Source organism: Homo sapiens, chromosome 8 (genome assembly GCF_000001405.40).
Source record: "Homo sapiens chromosome 8, GRCh38.p14 Primary Assembly".
NCBI classification, from domain to species: Eukaryota; Metazoa; Chordata; class Mammalia; order Primates; family Hominidae; genus Homo; species Homo sapiens.
This window is the reverse complement of record NC_000008.11, coordinates 2123984-2146029: the sequence shown is the minus strand read 5'-3', so window position 1 is coordinate 2146029 and position 22046 is coordinate 2123984. Positions and strand designations below refer to the sequence as shown.

The window sequence follows — 22046 nt, the reverse complement described above, 5'->3', positions numbered from 1 at the left end:
CAACAATAAAACTAAAATATTGAAATGGGATTTTTATGCCAGAAGAATTTCAGCCTCTTTCCAAACAAAGGAGGAAAAAGTTCAAAGAGAGGGTATGTTCCTCCTAAACACGTTTTTTAACTTCACCAAGAGGCCTTGTGTAGGCAGCCAAGTTTTTATTTTTCCTCCATGGCTACTGCAGTGATCATTCTGAATGAGTGCCTTCTTTCTTTTGAAATCCCTTCCTAATTCATTAGCACACTAAAAAAGAACAGAGCCATCTTTGCATTTCATTTTCCTCTACAGAGACTTTTAGATCCGTGGTATAATCACTAGGTGGCCTTTCTAAGCCTTGCACAAAACGCACACTTCTTAGGACTGGTGCCGTCTTGGGTGCCGCTGGGGGCCAGCAGCCCAGCCCCGTGGGTCGGAGGGGCTTTGGGGGTGTGATTCACCATGCCCTGCTCTCTGGAGGGTGAGTGCACTATCTGCACCCCACCAGCCGTGAAAGTGCATGATAACCCATAATTAAACAAGCCAGGGGGTGAGCAGGGGCAGGTAGGTGTGATTTGGTACAGGAAAACCACAACAAGGTGATTTTTAAACTTTTATTTGCCTAAAGCAAGAGAAAACAAGCTTAACCAGGTAACACATGCTTCAAAGCCTCGACAGCCAGGATTTCAGAGATGCTAGATCTCGCGGCCCCCCAAAGAGAAGCACGGTGGCTTCACACAGACCGCCACATGCTGCACACGTCCAGGTGCCACACCCATGTGCCCACACCCGTGAAAATTCTAGTGTGTTGTCTGCCAACCCACTCTCTGTCAGGCATCTGCCGTCTACCCTCGTGTAAATACACGTTGTTCAGTCTTGTGGAAAACATTAGCTTTCTCCCTTAGACGGGTATAAAATATTCATCACCAAATGCAAAAATCAAAAGCACAATGTGTGATCAACTATCAGCCCACACAGGACACCACTCGGATGCCAGCTGCTCATTTGGAACAAGCACACAGCATTCCTGTCTCTGCCAAGCATATTTTCCCATCTCCAGGCTAGGAAAACGCCTTCACTGGCCTGCCGCTGAGGCAGACGCGGGGATGAGCTTGGGCTTGGCTTGCTGGGGCGGGGCCATGTCCGGGATCTTCTCCCCGTGTTTGTACACGCTCACTGTCACGTCGATCTTCTCCCCGCCATACTTATTCTTGATGTTGATGCTGTACTTGCCCGAGTCCTCGGAGGTCACGCCTTTGATGGTCATGCTGACGTACTTGGCCTGCTCCACCTTCACCGAGAAGTGCTCGCTGAGCTGGATGTCCTGGTCGTTCTTGAACCAAATCACTTCGGGGTCAGGGTTTCCAAACACCGTGCAGGTCAGATTCAAGGTCTTTGGACGGAAGAGGTTGGTGGAGAAGGAAGAGTTAGAAAAAGGAAAGTCATGTCACCCCCTCGGACGGTGGGCTCCAGGTCACACTCAGTTACATTTATTGGTCCTTCAATCGTTTGTTTAGAAACAAGCCTTTATGTACATGAGCGCCGCTCTGGACAGAGCAGGCAGAGGACAGCAGGGAACAGGTTCACCACTTCACAGGCGAGCTCGTAAAAAAATCAGTGAGCATGTGTCCTATTTATTCTTAGCTTTTATCCATAGCCTAAGTCAATTAAAGAATTTGAAAGTAATTTAATTAAGCTCTATGTTTTATAGTAGATATATCCAGTCTGCTCCCAAATTTCCTTTCTATTTAGAGTTATGGATCCCTCTTACCAGTTCCTCTGGCAAACCCATTGAATATATCGTTTTATAACTGGTAAATTGGAGGCAAAAAAATGCATTCTTGAAGCTTAGTTAAAACATGCTTTCAGCCTAGGATAAAGTAAAACGATTGCTAATTTCTCAATTACATCCTTAAGATGAGATCTCAAGAGCTCTCTAGGCTTCCATTAGCTACTAAAGAAGACGTCTATAAATTTTTGTCTTTTGGGCTAATAAAATTTTCTCAAGTATCTCTGTCCCTGTGACATTGAGTTAGACCCACTGAAGCAACCAGACAGCTATCAATTAGATATCAATAATTCTCCCGACAGGCAACAAATTAAACTCCAATAAGTGGCTTCCACGATGTGTTCCACAATGACCTTGAGAATAGGAGCAGAGATTTTTTTTTCCTTCGTGTTGTAAAAGCTGTGCTGTTTCACACTGGAAGCAGGGGGCTTGCACCTTCACACACGCAGGTAGGTCAGGGCGAGTGTGGCTGCCTCATCCTGCAGTTGCTCCTCTGGGTGAATGGCCACAGGGGCATAGAAACACCCAAAGCCACAGCACTTGCCTTGAGGTGCCTGAGTGGCACAACGTGTTCCTCTGAACACAGGTTTGTGGATTCGGAATGTTATGTGATTCCTTCCTTTGAGAATACAGGGGCTATTCCAAGCCGTCTAGGAGGGGCAGAAAAGTGGGGGGGACTCTGGGTTCCCTGCAGGCTGAGTGAGGACACAGAAGCCCCTCACTGGGTTCCCTCTGCTCCGCCCCAAGAGAAGGGGTTGCGTCCATCGCACCGTGCTGACACCCCCACCCCGGCCGAGTTTAGAATCCTCACCTTCCCTTCCATGATGGTCACCACGTCAGGCAAGCCGCCGATCAACCTGCCACGATCTGCAACGGGAAAGCACCTTGGTTAGGAAAACATCTGCGGGACGTTCCCACGGAGCAGGAGCCATGTAAGCAGCAGTGGGTACCAAGGTGAATGTGGTGAGGAGTTTATGCTCAGGAGAGAGCGAGCATCAAAGAAAAAGGTTTATATGTTTACAGTTGAGGGATAAACCAAAGCCAAGGGAAGGTAGATGAGGAGATAACAGACTCTGTGAAGGGGTTGGGGGAGAAACACTCCAGAGGAAATGTGAGATGGGAACTGGGCTTGAAGGGTGAAGAATTCACCGAGGACGGAAGGCCTGGAGAGCCGCGTGTGTCCCTGAGTTGGGCAGAAAGTGACGGGGTCCTGGCCAGGCGCAGTGGCTCACGCCTGTAATCCCAACACTTTGGGAGGCCAAGGCGGGCAGATCATCTGAGGTCAGGAGTTAGAGACCAGCCTGGCCAACATGATGAAACCCTGTCTCTACTAAAAATACAAAAATTAGCCGGGCATGATGGCGGGTGCCTGTAATCCCAGCTACTCGGGAAGTTGAGGCAGGAGAATCGCTTGAACCCAGGAGGCAGAGGTTGCAATGGGCCGAGATCATGCCATTGCACTCCAGCCTGGGTGACAGAGCAAGACTCTGTCAAAAAAAAAAAAAGAATAAAGGGAGGGAGGGGAGGAAGGGAGGAAGGGAGGGAGGGAGGGAGGGAGGGAAGGGGAGGGGAGGGAGGAAGGGAGGGAAAGAAAGTGAAGTGGCCCTGGGTGTCTGGGCTGCAGGTTCTGCAAGGGAGGAGGGAGGGAGGGTGTCCAAGGGGTGACGGGGCTAAGGCCGAAAGCAGTGCAAGGATCAGTGGTGCAGGACATGGGGCTCCAGGACAGGGTGTGGTGTTGGTGGCGTTGTTACATCAGGGTGGGGGATTGCTGGTTATTATTTAATACACAAAGTTGGTCCTCCAAAATATGGACACTTTTGCCCCACCCCAAATAATTCACCATCCTGGTTACAATCCAACAGGTACTTACTCTTCTCTGCAAAAGCAGCAGCTCTAAAAGTTAAAGGGGACAGAAAGGAGAGAATGAAAAGAGAGTATGAGAAAATGCTTCCAACAAAATGCACAGCTGAGAGGCTCACTAGCGATGAAGCAAAAGAAGAAGGAGATACGTTTGCATTCTCTTAGAAGAACATGTTCGGGTCACAGGACCCCAGGATGGATATCACTGATTTTTCCTGATGGTTCCCACTGCCCATTTTGAGGTGGAAAATGCCCTATTATCCAGATGCTAAAACCCACAGAAAAGTTTAGCATTCCAGCTCACAGGTTGAAGAGATTTTTTTTTTTTTCACAAATTCACTAGATTGCACTGGAGACTTGAGATATTTTCGGAATTTGTCAGTTTCTGATCTATCTTGCTCATCCCTGCACCCAGTCAACAAATGTTCATTAAATAAGCTAGCATGGGCCAAGGACTGCGGTCAGCTTCGGATGTGCGAAGACTCGATGGTGCATTTGAAAACCCCGAATTGTCCTTAAAAAGTTGCTGTGTGTGATGTGCTGCCCTGATGATGACTGGCAGAGCAGCAGCACCGCCATCTTGGACTAGCATCGCCATTTTAAGTCTTCCTTGATTAGAAACCGCCTAAGTCCAGCCCAAAAACATCAGCTTAAGGGCTAATGTCAGCATGGCCATAAACCACAAATGACACCTCCGACCAGAAACATACCAACCCTGGCATAACCTGCCCTCCAATCAAAAACATTCCAACCCTGAGATAAGCTCCCCTCCAACCAGAGGTATTCCAACCTCACAATAAAACTCTCCTCCACACAGAAACCTTCCTAGCCTGAGCCAGAACCCTTAAATACCCTTAGTCTGTAAAAGAAAGCGCTCCTGACCGAAATCGGCCAAAAGCCCCACTCAGGTTTATTCTCCAAAATAAACCTGTCTTTGACTGTTAATCTGCTTTGCGTGTTTCTTTTCTCTTTCTTCAACTCTCACAATAATGATTTCCGAAATTCATCCGGGGTTCCGATGACTCTGGACAGTCCGTTTATAAATGCATTTCTGGTTTAGGAGAATGCCCACCCCTCCATATACTGCATTGCTTAAATTCCCACTTCTGTCCCAGGAATGGCTCTTTCTTTAGGTCACCCAGGCTTCCATACAGATTCCCACATGCAGCCAAAACGACTGGGACTCAACTGCCCACAGGATATCATAGTAACTAAATACACAAATCTTACTTGAATTGCTGGAATTCTGCAAATGCTTCATCAAAAGCTGTGAGGAAATAGTTCATACGTTACTAACCATTTCAGTGTTCAGATTTTATTTATTCACTCAAATATTATACCAGTGAATCTGGTTCATGAAAACTGATATATAAAAAAAGAATAAATTTATTTTTTCATTTTCTCTAAATGAAAATTGTAAATTCATATTGTCTCTTGTATTCATATTGTATTCCCTCCCTTCAGCATCTAAATGGATTTCTAAATAGGAAATTATTAAATGCTAAAGAAGAATTCTCTTACCTTGTCCGGACAGGTCAAGGGAGCGTTGATGGTTGTCTTTGCCATCGAAAATCTCAAAAGTGTATTTTCCTTTATCCTTCTCAGTCGGCTCACATATCTGCAGCCAAGCCATCTCTTCACTCCCCCCGATTCTCATATGCTCACTGGATGAGATCTTAGCATCTCTTGAAAAGAGCAACAGGAACGTATCTGAGTTAGGGTCTCCATGTCACACGCACAATGTCTACAGGGCAATGTCCCGTTGCTGTGACAGCCTTCTCTAAGCTGCTGATGCCAATGTCACAATAGATTATTCTGGCTGTTACGAATGTATTGACCACATCAGTAACTCAGATCTGAAAACTTTCTAAAATTAAATGATACTTAATTTTTAAAGGTATATTATTATGTAATATATACTTGTCACGACATAATGGACTTAACATTACTCTATATAGTATGGTAGTTCCTCAAAAAATTAAAGCTAGAACTACTACATGATCCAGCAATTACTTGTGTAGATCCGAAGAATTGGACACGGGGTCTTGGAGAGATATTGTCACACCTACATCCTTCGTAGTATCGTTCACGACCGCCCCGGTGGGGAGGCAGCCCAAGCGTCCATTGGTGATGAATGGATCAGTAGAATGTGGTCCATAAATACATGAGGGAAATCCCAACACCTCCTGCAATGTGCATGAACCCTGAGGACATTTTGCTGAGTAAAATAAGCCTGTCACAAAGAGACAAATATGTACTCCTATGAAGGGCTTAGGGTAGTCAGATTCACAGAGACAGGAAGTAGAACTGTGGGTACCAGGGGCTGGGGGAGGGGAATGGGGACTGAGGGTTTAATGGGAACAGAGTTTCGGGTGGGAGGATGAAAAGGTCCTGGGTGGTGGTGGTGCCTGCACGATGATGTGAATGTACTTAACACCACTGAACAGTACCCTTAAAGGTGGTTAAAATGCTCACTTTTACATTATGTGTATTATGCTACAATATTTTAAAGTTTAGATAAAAACAAGGTGCTCATACATTCCCGCCTTCTAAGGTTCCACATCTGCAACATATAAGGCCAAACTGTTTACTGCAGACAAAAGTGTATAAGTTATTTCCTAACATTACTTCAGTTTAGAGGGAGCCTGAGAGATCTGTGGAAGTCATAGTCACAGGTGCATGAAAACAGGACGGACTCCAGGGCCACCCAAGAGCTGGAATGTGGACCTGTTTCTCTCGGGCACCAGCTCCAGAACAGCCGCAGCTTGGGGAAGCAGGCTGGGTCAGTTGCACAGAGAGCCAGCTGTGGTGCTTGTGGCATCTTTCCTTACCCTTGCCGGCAACCAAGAATGCCTATGTTCCATCGGGAAAGGGAATTCTCCAGCCCTCCTCACCATCATAGCCTTTTTCTCTGTTATTCTTTCCTTCAACAAATATATGTTAAGCCCATAATAAATGCACAGCTCAGGCCGGGTGTGGTGGCTCACACCTGTAACCCCAGCACTTTGGGAAGCGAAGGCAAGAGGAACACATGAGCCCAGGAGTTGGAGACCAGCCTGGAAAACAAAGCAAGACCCTGTCTCAACAAAAATAAAAAAATTAGCCGGGTGTGGTGGCAAGCACCTGTAGTCTCAGCTACTCAGGAGGCTGAAGCAGGAGGACTGCCTGAGCCCGAGGAGGTCAAGGCTGCAGTGAGCTGTGATCACACCACCGCACTCCGGCCTGGCCAACAGAGCGAGACACTGTCTCAAAAAGTATATATGTAAAAATAAATGCTTGGCTCTGCGTCCCGGTCTCTGGTGGTGGTGCTGGCAGTGTGTGTCGGGTCTCTGGTGGTGGTGCTGGCAGTGTGTGTCGGGTCTCTGGTGGTGGTGCTGGCAGTGTGTGTCGGGTCTCTGGTGGTGGTGCTGGCAGTGTGTGTCGGGTCTCTGGTGGTGGTGCTGGCAGTGTGTGTCGGAACTGAGTCTGTCCGGATAGAAAGTGGGAGTTCTGTGAAGGCACAGTGGGATCCTGGCGCACACTAAGCCAGAGAGGCCGAAATGGCTGTTCCCAGGGATGGTTTTGTGGGATTGGCTTCACCCTGAGACTTAGCCTCTGGGATCCCGGACAGAGAAGGGAGGATCTAACACTGCCCATGTGCGGTTGTTTTAGAATCCAAGAAGACATGCTCAACATCTACTGAAGCGACTTTGGAACATAACTGACACACATTTGTCTACAATAATCAGGTTGGCCTCACCTGTTGCCGATGTGGGAGCGAGTTCGTGCCGCCTTAGAAGGCAGGGCAGTGTGAGCACTTTGGTTCTATCTAAACTTTTAAAAACTGTGTTAGAATGCACATAATGTAAAAGTGACCCCTTTAGCCCTTCACAATATGTTAATTAGCTCCCTTTTCCCATAATCTGCCCCTCCCCGGAAAGAGGCGGGAGAATCGGACCAGGCAATCCTTCAGGAATCTCTCAGTCCCGCATCTGGAATTCTATACGTTGCTGACCTGGGAGCCTCACGAAGGCTGACCCCGCAGCAGAGCCCCAGGCTCCGCCCAGCTGCTCTCAGTCCACAGTCAGCATGGGCTGCCTGGGGAGCAGGAGAGGGAAGCAGAAGCGATGAGGCCATGACCCCAGGCCCCAGCACTCAGCAGCCAGAGCCGGCCGGGCCGAGAGTGCCATGTTTGCAAGCTGCAGGCTGGCGCTTACATTAAAGGCAACACGGACTTGCCAGAGTCTCCATCCGTGGTGTGTCTGAGGGCAGGTGAGCATCAGTGGCCACACCAGCCGTCCTGTGAGCTCACAGCAGGTCGCTATTACTAAAGGGATTGATGGGCCATTGCAGCACTCAGACCTACTCATCCCTGTGTATAAAAGGAAAATTAGACTTTACATGGTGATTCTCAGCTCTGCAGAAAAGAAAAACCTTGCACAGAACATATACCAGGCAGTGGATTAGCCACTCAATCCCAAACCGTGGCGTGTGAGGAGCAGCAAGAAGCCCGTCTGTGCAGAGACCTGAAGGCAAAGAGACACTGACACACTGTAGGGACATCACAGCTTGATTAAGAAAGACTTCTTTATCCCCCTGGATGCACTTACAACTGGACACTTTACAGACCAATCAGCAAATCAGAAATTGCAGATCAGTGGGGAACTGGGCCCACTGTAATCGTTTATTGACTAAATGTACCCCATCCAAGGAAACAGGGTTCCACAAGCATGTGGAACTCTTCTGTTGAGAGTCAGAAAAACTTGTTTTGCCAACACTGATAGGCCTTAGTCATCTTGTCACCCTCTCTTGTTGGAACTGATGAGGGTCAAAGTTCAAACAAATGCACACACACACACACACAACCAGGCACAGCCAACTTGGCTATGTGTGCTTCCTGCACACACACAGACCCGTGGGACAGGATTCCAGCCTGAACCTCCACACATCAGTAAGGCCCTCAGTCCTGCCTGGCCCCACCCTGCTTCCCTGCCCTGCAAAGCCTGGATACTGCTTGGGGATTTGTGATGAGCTCCCCGCTTGCGAAGAAGGGGACGATTTTTGTCATGCCTGGTGTCTTGCATCCTGCACGAAATGCTCTGTTCGTGCTGTCGCTGGTCAGTCTCACCAAGAGGACGCAACAATCGCTGCCACCCTGTGTGAGCTCATCACCCTGTGTGAGCTCATCCTCCCACACATCACGTGGGTGTTAGGGAGAAGACAATGTTTTCTTGATCACCATTAACTCAAATGTGTCTTCTTCAAAGAGCTAAATTATGTGCCAAAACTATTGCATCCTAGATGTATAGACGAAGATGTTCAAACCTCTGCTCTGTGTGTGTATATGTGTGTGTGTGAGAAAGAGAGAGAGACTAGAAATTCTTCCGTGGGGTAAAATTGCAAACAGCCCCAAAATCTCACTGTTTAGACTTAGAGCCATGAAGAAAAGCTAGTGGAGTTTCCACCGTATCAGCCACAGCTTTGTCCAACAGGTGAAATTCACTGGGCCACGAAAGTTGCGCTGCAAATGCTTCATGAAGTGGCAGCGTTTTAGCCTTTGCGGCGTTTATGTTCTGCTGGACTACGTTCCATTCCAGTGGTGATCCATTCTACTCACACAATTAGCAACTTGCTTACAGAAAAAGAAACATAATTTTATTTTGATATAGGTGACAAGGGAAAAAGGTACACCTTCACGCGATCATTCATAAAATAGCTGTAAATGTGTCCCACCGGCCTCCTGACTTTGGTGTAATTGGACACACCGGCTGGGCAGCAGTGGAGATAAGGGCCCCACTGCACACAATTGCTTCACTGGCCTCATGCTGACGGCCCTAGGCCTTTGGAGTGACTTATCATTCAAGTTTCACTTTTAAAAAGTGACCCTCTACTTCAGCGAGAGATTCTTTACAACAGCCACACAATCTGGGGGAAGAACACTTGAACCCAAATCTCAGCCAGTGACGAAGGGTAAAAACCACTGTAATGAAGGAATGGTGTCCACTGGACACCAAATCACACACTGGCCCACTTGGTGCACTTCTGGCACCCCACATGCTTCTGGCCCCACCTCCGTCACAGCTGCGGCCTCCGCTGCCACCCTGGGATCAGGGTAAACACATGCATGCATGCAAGATGCCCTGAGCCAGGACCCCACAGCCTGCAGCTGGGACGCTACCCTTCCCTGGGCTGCAGCTGCACAAAGGTAGCCATGAGCCGGGGATCAGCAGCCACCTTCAACCCCAATCCCAGCCTCGAGCTGCCCATGTTGGCGTTCTGACCCCAGGTTCTCTTGCATCACACACACTTCTCTTGGACTGGGTTCTAATTCTGTTCCCTCGATACGACTCAGACAAAGCCACTCACAGAACATGGACAGCCATTAGCAGAGCTTCCAGCAGAGGCTCCCGCTGTCCCTGCGTCTGCAACCCTGGCTGCTCACCTTGAGGGCAAATGCTGGTTTCCAGCTTCCCACTCCCAGCTTCAGGGTCTCACCCTAGACCCCACGCCCACTCATTTGGCTTCCCCTGAATGAGCAACTTATAAGAGGGCCAAACACGTCCTAGTGCTCAAAAATAGCTGTTAATTTCTTTGACTATCTAGTCGCTGAATTAATTATAACTGTTGCCTTACCTAGACAATGACTTGGACATATAGGGATATTAAAATTATTATTATTGTTGTTTAGAGACATAAATGGGCCAAATATGACAAAACCTCTTCTTCGTATTACTTGATTACAAAACATGACCAAATTCCTTCATTCCAAACTAAAGTTAAAATGGTTCACATTAATATAAGACAGTGGAGGATAGAAGAAAGCACACGTTTCTGCTCCTTCGTGCTAAAGCAACCAGCAGGATGGTCAACTGTGACGGGGTAGGTAGGAAGGAGACAGGTAAGGGGCGGGGGCAGGTGAGCAGGGAGGAGGAGAGAAGGTCTGGGCTCCAGTTCTGTAGCTCAGACTCTTACAACCACACTGCCTTTCACATTTCCCAAAACAAATGAGGAACACCAACCTGAAAGCAAGGGGAACCCAAAACAAAATACGAACAGTAACAAATGAACATAACTATGTTGCAAATGAATTGCTTACCACCCAGAACGTAAAGACATAAAGTAACTTTGGAAAGCAATATTTTGATTTGATACTGTATGGCTAAAGATGAAAGGAATTAATTGTAGGAAACACTGAACTCTAGTATGCACATTTGTTTCTCACAGAGATATGAGTTACTAATTCTGAAACTGCTTGATGTAAATACTAGGACTGAAAACAAAACAAAACAAAAAACAACAACAACAGTAGGTGAGAGCCAGGCTTTACAGCTCAGGAAAGGAACAAGGCTTGAATGAAGGCTGTGGAGTTGGGCTGGGATCCAATCAGATTCTAGTACACAGACGGTGAGATGCAGAAGTGGACACGGATGAGCGAGTGTGTGCCTCCGTGTGCACTCACACATCACCCAGTCCTGTCTCCAGAGCATGTAAGACCCGCGGCTCCCTGAGACATCGATAGTCTCTGATGCCAACCTTTGTCCAGGAGCCAGGACTTCTGGGATTGTAGCAATGGGGCAGAAGATATGAGATGAGTTGGGAATGTTTTACGGGCCCAGAAAATAAGGCATTGCTCCTAAGAAGATGCAGGCACACACACTGGAAAAAGCAGGCGACAACCGGAAGGAGCTCCCAAGGGCCAGAGCTGGAACAATTTGAGCAAAGTAACAGCTCACAGAACAAAGTCAGCATCCCTGAGTCCAAACGGATACAGCCAAGCAGCTGAATGAGGAGATGCACAGAGGAGAGGCCAGCGCCTCCCAGCAGAACAAATGTAAAAGGAAAAGGGAACTTCAGCCCCTCAGAAATCAGTGCTGAAGGCCAGATTCACTGCTGAACCTCAAATCCCAGCACACAGGTCTGCGGAGGGACAAGAGACTTGCCAAGTCCTGAAGTATTTACTAATTACCAAGAGAAAAATAATAACGTTCCCAGGAAGAGACGGGGCAGACATTGCCTTAACCCAGTGATCAGGTATCAGCATGGCTTTTGTTGTATTCCAGCTAAAACGGAGTCACCAACCCAATCATGGGAAACACCAGATAAACCCAGACAGAGGGGCGTGCTTCCGAGTGACTGACAGAAGGCTTCAAGGCACCCAGGCCGAGAGAGACGAGGAGAGCCTGAAGAACTGTCCTAGACAGGGGGGAAACCAGGAGCCAGGACACCTAATCACAACATGGGACCTGAGATTCAACACAGGAACATGCAAAAGGGCGTTCCTGGAAAAAAAGGTGCAATCTGAATTGGTCTGTAGCAGAGTTAATAGTATTACATCATCATTCAGCGCCTGGTTTTGATGGTTATAAGGTGGGTACACAATACACTAACCTCAGGGGAAGACGGTGGAGGTGGCTACACAAGGCGTTAACCTCAGGGGAAGAGGGTGGAGGTGGCTACAGAAGACGTTAACCTCAGGGGAAGAGGGTGGAGGATGTAAGGGAACTCCTTACTTTCTTCTCAACTTTTCTATGAGTCTAAAATTATTTCACAGTGAACGATTTAGAAATATTATAAATTTGTAACTGAATATTATATACAATAAAATAAATGGCTGGAAGTAACACAAGTGTAAAAATCTAAAAACTAAGTCTGAGATCAATGACTGACAGACCAGACACTGTGGCTCACACCTGTAATCCCAGCACTTTGGGAGGCCGAGGCAGGTGGATCACCTGAGGTCAGGAGTTCGAGACCGGCCTGGCCAACATGGTGAAACCCCATCTCTACTAAATATACAAAAATTAGCCAGGCATGGTGGCGCATGCCTGTAAACCCAGCTACTCTGGAGGCTGAGGTGGGAGAATCACTTGAACCCAGGAGGCAGAGGTTGCAGTGAGCAAAGATCATGCCACTGCACTCCAGCCTGGGTGACAGAGCAACACTCCGACTCTGTCGGAGGCAGGTAGATGGAAGCACAAGAACAGAGCCGGCGCCTCCGAGGCAGTGGTTCCGTCAAGTCCACTGAAGGTTTCAATAGCGCTGTGGTGTCTGAGCTCTTCTCAGTGTGGTCCAAAATTCAAGTCAACTCCACCTAGATCTTGCTCCCCTTTTGAAGGGAAATGTAGATAAAAGGGAGAAATTCCCAAAAGCTAGGAAATATTTGCTTCTAGGCTGGAGAGGACAGTGTTGAGGAATGCAGACCTCCTTTGGGAAGAGCCCCACAAGATGGGACAGCCTGAGGGGACCTTAACATACCCAGCAGCCTTTTGCTACTGCTGTCTAAATAGTGAACATCAGAACACATGCAGAGAACTGGAAACACCCTGTGCTTTCTGAGAGGGGACTGCACATACCTGGAGCTCCCACCCCTGCAGCTGTCACAGGCCAGGACCGCAAGGCACAACACACATCGGCTAAAGCCACGACCAGGACAAAGGGAACGTCCCGTCACCGCCCCAGCCCTTCCCACTGTAGACATGGCCAGCCACTGCCCCTCCCACCCTGTGGACATAAGGACGAAGATGTGCCGGGGAAGGTGTCTGGGGTGTCAGGCAGCCACCTCTCCTCCCAGTTAGTTCAAGAGTTAGCTGAGATTTTAGGAGAGCATTTACAAAGTCAGACTCTGCGTGTGAAATCTCCTGAAATGAATTAAAATACACATTTGGAGTTTGAAGCATGCACTTCTTTGTATGCCATAAAGACACTGTGAGGCATGTGAGGTGGCCAAGGCAAGAGGATTCCTTGATCCCAGGAGATCAGGGCTACAGTGAGCTAGAATGGCACCACTGCTCTCCAGCCCGGGTGACAGAGCAAGACTCTGTCTCAAAAAAAGAGAGAGAGAGAGAGAAAGAGAGACTGCAATTTCTTTAGTTTCTGAGATACTTCCAAGACTTCAGTGGTCAATATGTTCAGACTTTGAGATCTAGCCATGTCTAGATGATATATTAATCTCACCTTTCAGTAAGAGAACAAAATCTTTTCTCTTAAGAACATTTTTACTGAATTCCTCTTTGCCTGCTTCTAACTCACGCTGAATAAGTTTCTAACATTCCCTTAAAGTGACATGTTCTATAGCCTCTGATGTATTACTCAGCATTTTTAACTAAAGAACAATTGTCTTTGCTTACGTCCGCATTTCACAAAATTCTCATAGCACTCTATTGATTCCATGTCACCCATTAACACAAAATATTCCAGGACCCACAGCACCAGTCTTTGGCAGCTCCACTCCCTGGCTTCATAGGTTTTGTGAAGTGGATTATTTAGCCTCAAATGGCTAAAGTATATTGCAACAAATTTTCCAACTAATTTTCTTATTATTCTTTTTTTCCAGTTGCTATCTAATAAGAACGCATTTAGTCATCAAGAAGTGAATTACAATCATACATGATGACTACCTAATATAGTTTCATGTTGTTTAATAGTCAAATAGTAAGAAGTTAAGGTCTTATAGTTTAGTTATAAAGGTGTTAAAGAAATGCCTATTGGCCGGCTGCGGTAGCTCACGCCTGTAATCCCAGCATTTTGGGAGGCCCAGGTGGGTGGATCACGAGGTCAGGAGATTGAGGCCATCCTGGCTAACACGGTGAAACCCCATCTCTACTAAAAATACAAAAAATTAGCCAGGCGTGGTGGTGGGCGCCTGTAGTCCCAGCTACTTGGGAGGCTGAGGCAGGAGAATGGCGTGAACCTGGGAGGCTGAGCTTGCAGTGAGCCGAGATCGCACCACTGCACTCCAGCCTGGGTGACAGAGTGAGATTCTGTCTCAAAAAAAAAAAAAAAAAAGAAAGAAATGCCTGTTTTGTTGTATAATGAATTTGTTTGGGGAAGATAAAACATAGAAATAATGTTACTTTTACAAGTCTGTGGGATTTACAATAACACCTCCTTCTCTTTTTGTATCTAGGGATGCTTTCTTCTGATCCATGGTCACTGATGAGTCAGATGCATGAGCTGTGCCCCGATCTGCCTGCCTATCTAGGACCCACCCTCTTCACTGGGCTTGGAGCTTCTCGGGAGAGCACTGATGAGAACCAGACCAGCCAGCGTTCAAATCCCTGCTCTTTCACTTAGTAGGGGCGTGACTGACAAAATGACATGTTTCTCTCCCTGAACCCCAGTTTCCACATCTATAAAATGTGGGTATAAATACCTAACTCACAGGGTATTTGTGAGGATTAGATAAAAATAACATGTGTTGAACGTGTAACACAAAGTACCTGCTTGCTAACACTAACATGACCTACATCTACACACACTTCCTGTGTGGTCACACACATCCACAGGGCGTGTGTTTAATCCTGTGTGTGGGTGTGTGTTTAATCTCTGTACCCCCCAGACCCAGCACAGCGCATGGCCTGTACTACAAACCACACAAGGCTGAAGAGGGGGGTGGCCTTTCCCAGAAGATGAACGTGTTTATGACGGATGGCAGGACACACATTGCAAGTGTGTACAACTTACAGCAAGACAATATGCTGTAAATAAGAAGGAAGCTCAAAGATGCTGATGATTAATTCTCCTTTTCCAGGGGAAGGTTTGATTCAGCTAGAAACATAGATTTACTCATTGTCCCACAAAATAAATCCCGATAAACAATTATATCACAAAACTCACCAGAGTTCTAGTCCTGTAAGCTCCTGTTATCACAGTCCTTTAAAAAAAGACCCTGCCTTCAATACACTTTCCTAACAAATCCCTTAACATGGGATCTACAGTGACTCCATTTGAGTTTGAATAAACCAGGCTAGTAAAATTAAAGACGTGAGAGATTCCAAGCACAGATGTACTGACTCCATTATAAGAAAAAAGCACACTATGTCAAAATTGAAATAGGAAAAAAGCTAAGAACATACATGCTTTCAACTCTTCAATTTACTTACAGTCACCTAAGCAAACCAGTGATATTAAAAGTGAAATAGTCATAACCATTGATTTTCCTTTGGAAATATTCATTAGGTAACTATGATATCTAAAGGCAGGGTGTGGGCGCCCTGGGTATAGCGTACTGATGGGCGTTAACTAAAGGCGGGGTGTGGGCACCCTGGGTATAGCGTAGTGAGGGGCGTTAACTAAAGGCGGGGTGTGGGCGCCCTGGGTATAGCGTAGTGAGGGGCGTTAACTAAAGGCGGGGTGTGGGCGCCCTGGGTATAGGGTACTGACGGGCGTTAACTAAAGGCGGGGTGTGGGCGCCCTGGGTATACGGTACTGACGGGCGTTAACTAAAGGCGGGGTGTGGGCGCCCTGGGTAGAGCGTAGTGAGGGGTGTTCACTAAAGGCGCGGTGGGGACGCCCTGGGTATAGCGTACTGAGGGGCGTTAACTAAAGGCGGGGTGTGGGCGCCCTGGGTACAGTGTACTGACGGGCGTTAACATCTGGGTGCCTTGACACCATCAAATAATTGGCCTGAACACGTCATCCTTTGGATAGCGAAGAGATCGTTAAAAAGCCACCGTCCCTGCTCTGTCTGTCCTTCCCACCCACCTGAAGTCCACTTTTATCTGCGGTGATATCTATAGGGGTTGGTGACCCTGATGCGAGTCCTGTTTTGGGGACTCCTCGATTCAGCCAGCAGTTTGCCTGGTTGTTTCAGATGTCGGCTTGTGCTTTGCCTGGGAAGTAGCCAGAACCCAGAGGCAGGGCAGCAGGGACCTGCCCAGTGCTATGGGTTGCATGAGAAGTCTCTGGTAGTTTTCTCAGTGATCCGTACCGACCCAGAGAAGCATGAAATACAGAAAACCTTGCTGTGTCTTCAGGCTTGGTCTTGTTTTCTTCTGTTTTTAATTTTAATGATTGGGCTTGTTTTGGTACTTTTAATCAAGTCTAGCGGGAAACCAACTGACTGGAAATTTGGAGTCTGGTTTCTACAAATTATTTATTAGTTCTGCTTCAGCTCTCTGTTCGCTTCCAGAGAAAATCTGTGTTACCAGTAAAGCCACCTTTGGTGACTGAGACACTAGAGAAATTTGTCTGTAACACTATCAGGCATTTCTCCTCTGCCTCCTTCTTCCACGTCCTCCCCACTGCCGTGAGGGCCCCCTTCCCTGAGCTAAAGGTTGTCATCATTGCTCAAAATTATAAAATTTTGAGGGGAAATGGCAGTGCCTTGATGTTCCCCAGGGAGCGCCTGGTCCCAGCTGTGCGCCCTGGACAGCCCCATCTATGGCATGGCCTCCATCGGCTGCTGTCATACTTACTTGTGACACCAGTTCACTTTCATTTCGTCTGTAAAATACTTCATGAAACACTGAAGTCGTATTCCTTCTGGGGTGCAGAGTACCTTCAGTGGCGAAGCAGATTTCCCTGCAGAAAATAAAACATCCTCAGATCTAGGAAAAGGAGTGCCTGCTGTGTGATCACAGAAAGCATCGCGGCGGCAAGCCCTCCTGTCCCCACCTGCAATCCTGTTCTCACTTGTGTCTCTCATAAAGTCGGCCAGCCACAAATTCTTATACTTTATTCCCATGCTGTCTCCATTCATTAAACAAGCTCTTACCATGCTAGAATTATCTGAAAAGCTCTTTGCAGAATACTGTAAAAGATATAGAACTGTCTAAAAAGATTCAACATCTGCCCCTCAGCAGCTTTGCTTAAGAAAAGGAGGCAAAATAACAACAGTGCATGGCAAATGCTACGTGAGTTAACCCCAAGCTGAACTATCGTAGAAAATCTGCAAAAGGGACGTTAAGATTTAGCAGGACTCTTTCAGGTGGGAGTCAAGCAGATGGGAGCACCTCGGCTGGTTCTTCAAGACAAATGAAACTTGGGTCAGAGGAAGGAAAGCAGAAGAAACCCCAGGGGCAATAAGAAAATGCAATAAACGAGAACACACACAGTGTACTTGGAATAAAAATGAAGACTAATTCGCTTGAGGTAGATGATCTATGGGTCAGAGGTCAGAAAGGAGAAGATAAGGAAGTAGCACTGATGAAGGCAGAAGCTCTGAACTGGAAGTAGAGATTGTTATCAGATATTCAGCCTTGGAAATTTACATTCACATACAGTTACCTAGAAAACTAGATTTACATAATTAGCACAGATAATGGAAAATAAGATGATCACCAACTGTTGTGGAGGATAGTGTAACAAAGAGGCATTTTAAATAGTAATTTTTCATTTTGGGAAGCAACTTGAAATTTATATTATGAATCTTAAAATTACTTTTAGTTTTTACATAGTTATTGTGCTTCTAGGAGTTCAAAGAACATATTCCTAAATCCTGAAAGAGCCTTTGCTTGCCCAAAGGTGTGCATTGTACAATTATTTAAAATAATGGAAACTCATTAATTTCTCTATAGAAAAGAGCTTAAACCATGATATGTGGTTCCATGAAATAATAAGTAATTATTTTTTAAAGTGAATGTTAATATAACATCTATATAAAACAAAGAAAATTATAAAATATGTGGGGGAAAAAAACAACATGAACGGTATTTGTGACTCCGACTATGTAAAGAAATAGAAACCAAAATAGAAACTGTTATGATGGTGAAGCTCTTTGTTTTCCTTTTATCCTTAAATACACATGAGGAAAGAAAGAGCACCAACCAAAAATAAATAAACAAAGGCCCCCTCCGTGACAGAGTTGAGGAAGAACGAAGAGATGGTGTGCGTGAAGCTCTCTCCGGCTGCGTCATGGCGTCACGCCGAGGTACTGCCTGCCTGCGGCTGCGCCACCGCGTCACGCCGAGGTACTGCCTGCCTGCGGCTGCGTCACCGCGTCACGCCGAGGTACTGCCTGCCTGCGGCTGCGTCACCGCGTCACGCCGAGGTACTGCCTGCCTGCGGCTGCGTCACCGCGTCACGCCGAGGTACTGCCTGCCTGCGGCTGCGTCACCGCGTCACGCCGAGGTACTGCCTGCCTGGACTTCCACACCTCCCTAAACCCCGCTAGTCCACTGCAAAGGAGGAAACCACCCAGGAACCTGAGGGACAACAGGGGAGGAAATGACAGAATTTGAGCCCATCCCCAGAGCTTCTGGAGGTGGAGGGAGGGGCATGAGGTCTAGGGAACTGTGCGGGGCTAAGAAAGCCAAAAAGTGCGCAGGGAACCGAGTGAGCTCAGGACTTGGAGGGTCCCTGCATCTGGGCCGGCTGCAGACAGGAGGGTTATTGAAAATCTGTAAGGCAGAGATCCCTGACCACCATCTCCCCTCCCCAGTCAGGTGGGACTCTGTTTCCTCTACTCGGAGACAGGAGTTCACCCTTCAAGGAATCACAACTTGAAAAAGAGCTTGGGAACTGGGTGAAGTCAACACACTGCAGAGCCATATTCCCCCACCCGACCCCCCTTCCCTCTGCTCAAATTCCCTGACACTGACTCATGAGACCAACACCACCCTAACCAGGCAGAACACGGGAGGGTCGGAGCAGCCTGAGAGCAAAGCACACAGACCAGAAGCAGCTCCCCCAGCCTCTATCAGCCTCTCCCAGTGCTCCCCCAGCCTCCGTCAGCCTCTCTCAGTGCTTCCCCATCCTCCCCCAGTGCTCCTCCAGCCTCTATCTGCCTCCCCCAGTGCTCCCCCAGCCTCCATCAGCCTCTCTCAATGCTCCCTCAGCATCCCCCAGTGCTCCTCCAGCCTCTATCAACCTCTCCCAGTGCTCCCCCAGACTTTATCAGCCTCCCCCAGTGCTCCCCCAGCCTCCATCAGCCTCTCCTAGTACTCCCCCATCCTCCCCCAGTGGTCCTCCAGCCTCTATCAGCCTCCCCCAGTGCTCACCCAGCCTCCATCAGCCTCCCTCAGTGCTCCCCCAGCCTCCATCAGCCTCTCCCGGTGCTTCCCCAGCCTGTATCAGCCTCCCCCAATGCTCCCCCAGCCTCCCAGGGCTCCTGTGTATGAGTCTGTATGCATCAGTGTGTGAGTCTACACAAGTGTGTGCCCATATGAGTAAGTGTGTGTATGAGTGTGTGTGTCAGTGTGTGAGTTCACATGTAAGTGTGTGCATGTATGAGTGTGTGAGTGTGTAGGGTGTGGGTACACTGGTGTGTGTCAGTGTGTGTGTATGTCTGAGTGGGAAATCGTGTGTGTGTGACTGCTGTGTGAGTGTGGGGATGTGAGTGTGTGGGTGTGAGTGTGTTGACAACATGCCTTCCACTTCTTCCATTCTGATATGTCAGGGAGAGACTCCAGCCCATGGCGTCCAGTTTCCCATGAGAATAAAGGCTCCCTATTGATATGGGAAGTTCTGGGCCTGTCCCCTCTGTCCCTATCCAACTCCCAACATAATGTGCATGTCCCCTCAGCCGCTGCATCTCTGCTTCGAGGTGACAAGCACACAGTGAGGACTCTGCTTTTTGCATTTTCCTTATAAACACTCACTCTTCAAGACCTTCTGGTCAGTTCTATTATCCATGAGTGGCCCTTGGACACATTATGAGATATTTTAACACAAAATAATTTCATGAGTATAAGAGTAAAGCCACATTTTTACTACCCAAAGCAATCTAAAGATTGAATGCAATTCTTATCAAAATTTCGATGTTGTTTTTCACAGAAATAGAAAAATAATCCTTGTCCAGGCACAGTGGCTCAAGCATGTAATCCCAGCACTTAGGGAGGCCTCGGTGGGCGGGCGGGCGGATCACAATGTCAGGAAATGGAGACCATCCTGGCCAGCATGGTGAAACCCCATCTCTACTAAAAATGCAAAAAAATTAGCTGGGTGTGGTGATGCGTGCCTGTAGTCCCAGCTACTCTGGAGACTGAGGTAGGAAAATCGCTTGAACCCAGGAGATGGAGGTTGCAGTGAGCCGAGATTCACCCACTGCACTACAGCCTGGCAACAGGGAAAGACTCCGTCTCAAAAAAAAAAAAAAAAAAAAAAGGAAAAATAATCCTAAAAGTCGTATGCAACTAGGAAAGCCTCTAATAGCCTAAACAATCCTTAGGAAAAAGAACAAAGCTGGAGGCATCGCACTCCTGATTTCAAAATATATAGTTACAGAAACCAAAACAGCATGGCACTGACATTAGAACAGACAGATCGGCCAATGGAACAGGATAAAGAGCCCAGAAATGAAACTAAATATTGATGGTCAATTGATTTTCAACAAAGATGCCAAGAAGACACAATAGGGAAAGACAGTCTCTTTAATCAGTGGTGCTGGAAACACTGAATATCCACATGCAGAAGAGTGAAATTGGCGCTTTAACTTATGCCACATGGAAAAATCAACTCAAATTGGATAAAAGACTTAAACATAAGACCTGAAACTGCGAAGCCGCTGGAAGGAAGCTCGTGGGGGAGATGCTTTGCAGCATGGATCTGGGCAGTGATCGCTTGGATAGGACATCAAAAATACAGGCAACAAAAGCAAAAGTAAATAAATGGTACTGCACAAAACTAAAAAGCTTCTGCACAGTAAAGAAAACAATTGACAAAAGGAAGAAAGAACCCATGGATTGGGAGAAACTATATTCAAGCTATGCATTGGCTAAGGGACTAATATTCAAAATCCATAAGGAACTGAACTCCACAGGAAAAAAACAAATAACCCATTAAAAATGGGCAAAGGATCTGAACAGATATTTCTCAAAAGAAGACAGAAAAATGGCCAACAGATACTTGAAAAATACTGAACATCTCTAATCATCAGGGAAATGCAAATTAAAACTGCAGTGAGATATCATCTCACACCTGTTAGAATGGCTATTATCAAAAAGACAAAAGATAAAACACTGGCAAGCAGAGAAAGGAACACTTGTGCATGATTGGTGGCATGTAAATTAATATAGCCACTATAGAAAAGAGTGTGGAGTTTCCTCCAAAAACAAGCTGAACTGACATGTGATCCAGCAATCCCACCTCTGGGCATTTATTTGTAAAGATAACATATGGTTTAATGTGTACGACGCAAAGTGAGAGGTTTAAAAATTCATTACGGCTATTCAACATATGTAAAAAGCTGCTCATAGCAATTATATACAAAGCAGTCATGCCAATTAACCTAAGACAGGATGGAAGAAGTGGCTAATCAGGACGCCCAACCTGAGTTTCTTAAAGTAAAACTCAAACTCCAGACAAAACTGAGGGAAGTCCTTTAAAAAGCTTCATCGGCAGCAGATCACCACCCTGCCCTTCCATCCAGGGCCTCCCACAGAACACGCACCACAGCTCCATGGTGCCCTCTTTTGCAGCAGTGACTTCCCGTGTCAGGAAATAGTGATTTCAGCACCCCAAATGACTTGAAAATTAAAAGGCATTTACTTACCACAGACTCTACTCATTGCCAAAATCATATCATCATACACTGAAAATGAGAAGGGATACGCACCATTACGACATGTAACTTTAACCGAAAGCAGCATTTTCAATGTTTAATTAAATCGATGCAGGAAATTGTGATGTTCAGTTGAAAAATGAATCATTAAAATGGCAATATTTATCCATAAAAGACTTATGTGTGCGATAAATCCTTCTAACCTATTCACTTTTAAAAAAGGAT

The 22046-nt window shown here is 46.8% G+C and overlaps 1 protein-coding gene across 1 annotated transcript in view, besides 2 other annotated features; it reads right to left on the bottom strand.

Annotated features, from left to right (window-relative positions):
- Positions 1-573: 573 nt before the first annotated feature.
- Positions 574-22046, bottom strand: part of MYOM2 (myomesin 2) — a 100411-nt gene continuing 78938 nt past the window's right edge. Inside the window, exons 31-37 of the mRNA NM_003970.4 lie at positions 21813-21851; positions 16798-16903; positions 5144-5307; positions 4853-4889; positions 3633-3655; positions 2574-2629; positions 574-1366 (exon numbers count right to left, since the gene is read on the bottom strand). Of these exons, the coding sequence (NP_003961.3) occupies positions 1049-1366; positions 2574-2629; positions 3633-3655; positions 4853-4889; positions 5144-5307; positions 16798-16903; positions 21813-21851 (743 nt within the window). The 3' untranslated portion in view covers positions 574-1048. The remainder of the gene's footprint in view (positions 1367-2573; positions 2630-3632; positions 3656-4852; positions 4890-5143; positions 5308-16797; positions 16904-21812; positions 21852-22046) is intronic.
- Positions 7733-8233: an enhancer, noted in NCBI's record as "H3K4me1 hESC enhancer chr8:2085784-2086284 (GRCh37/hg19 assembly coordinates)". NCBI's record gives its function as "activates a minimal SCP1, AML or CMV promoter by ChIP-STARR-seq in primed H9 embryonic stem cells {active_cell/tissue: H9 hESC(primed)}" and the evidence as "EXISTENCE:reporter gene assay evidence [ECO:0000049][PMID:30033119]".
- Positions 9221-9728: an enhancer, noted in NCBI's record as "H3K4me1 hESC enhancer chr8:2084289-2084796 (GRCh37/hg19 assembly coordinates)". NCBI's record gives its function as "activates a minimal SCP1, AML or CMV promoter by ChIP-STARR-seq in primed H9 embryonic stem cells {active_cell/tissue: H9 hESC(primed)}" and the evidence as "EXISTENCE:reporter gene assay evidence [ECO:0000049][PMID:30033119]".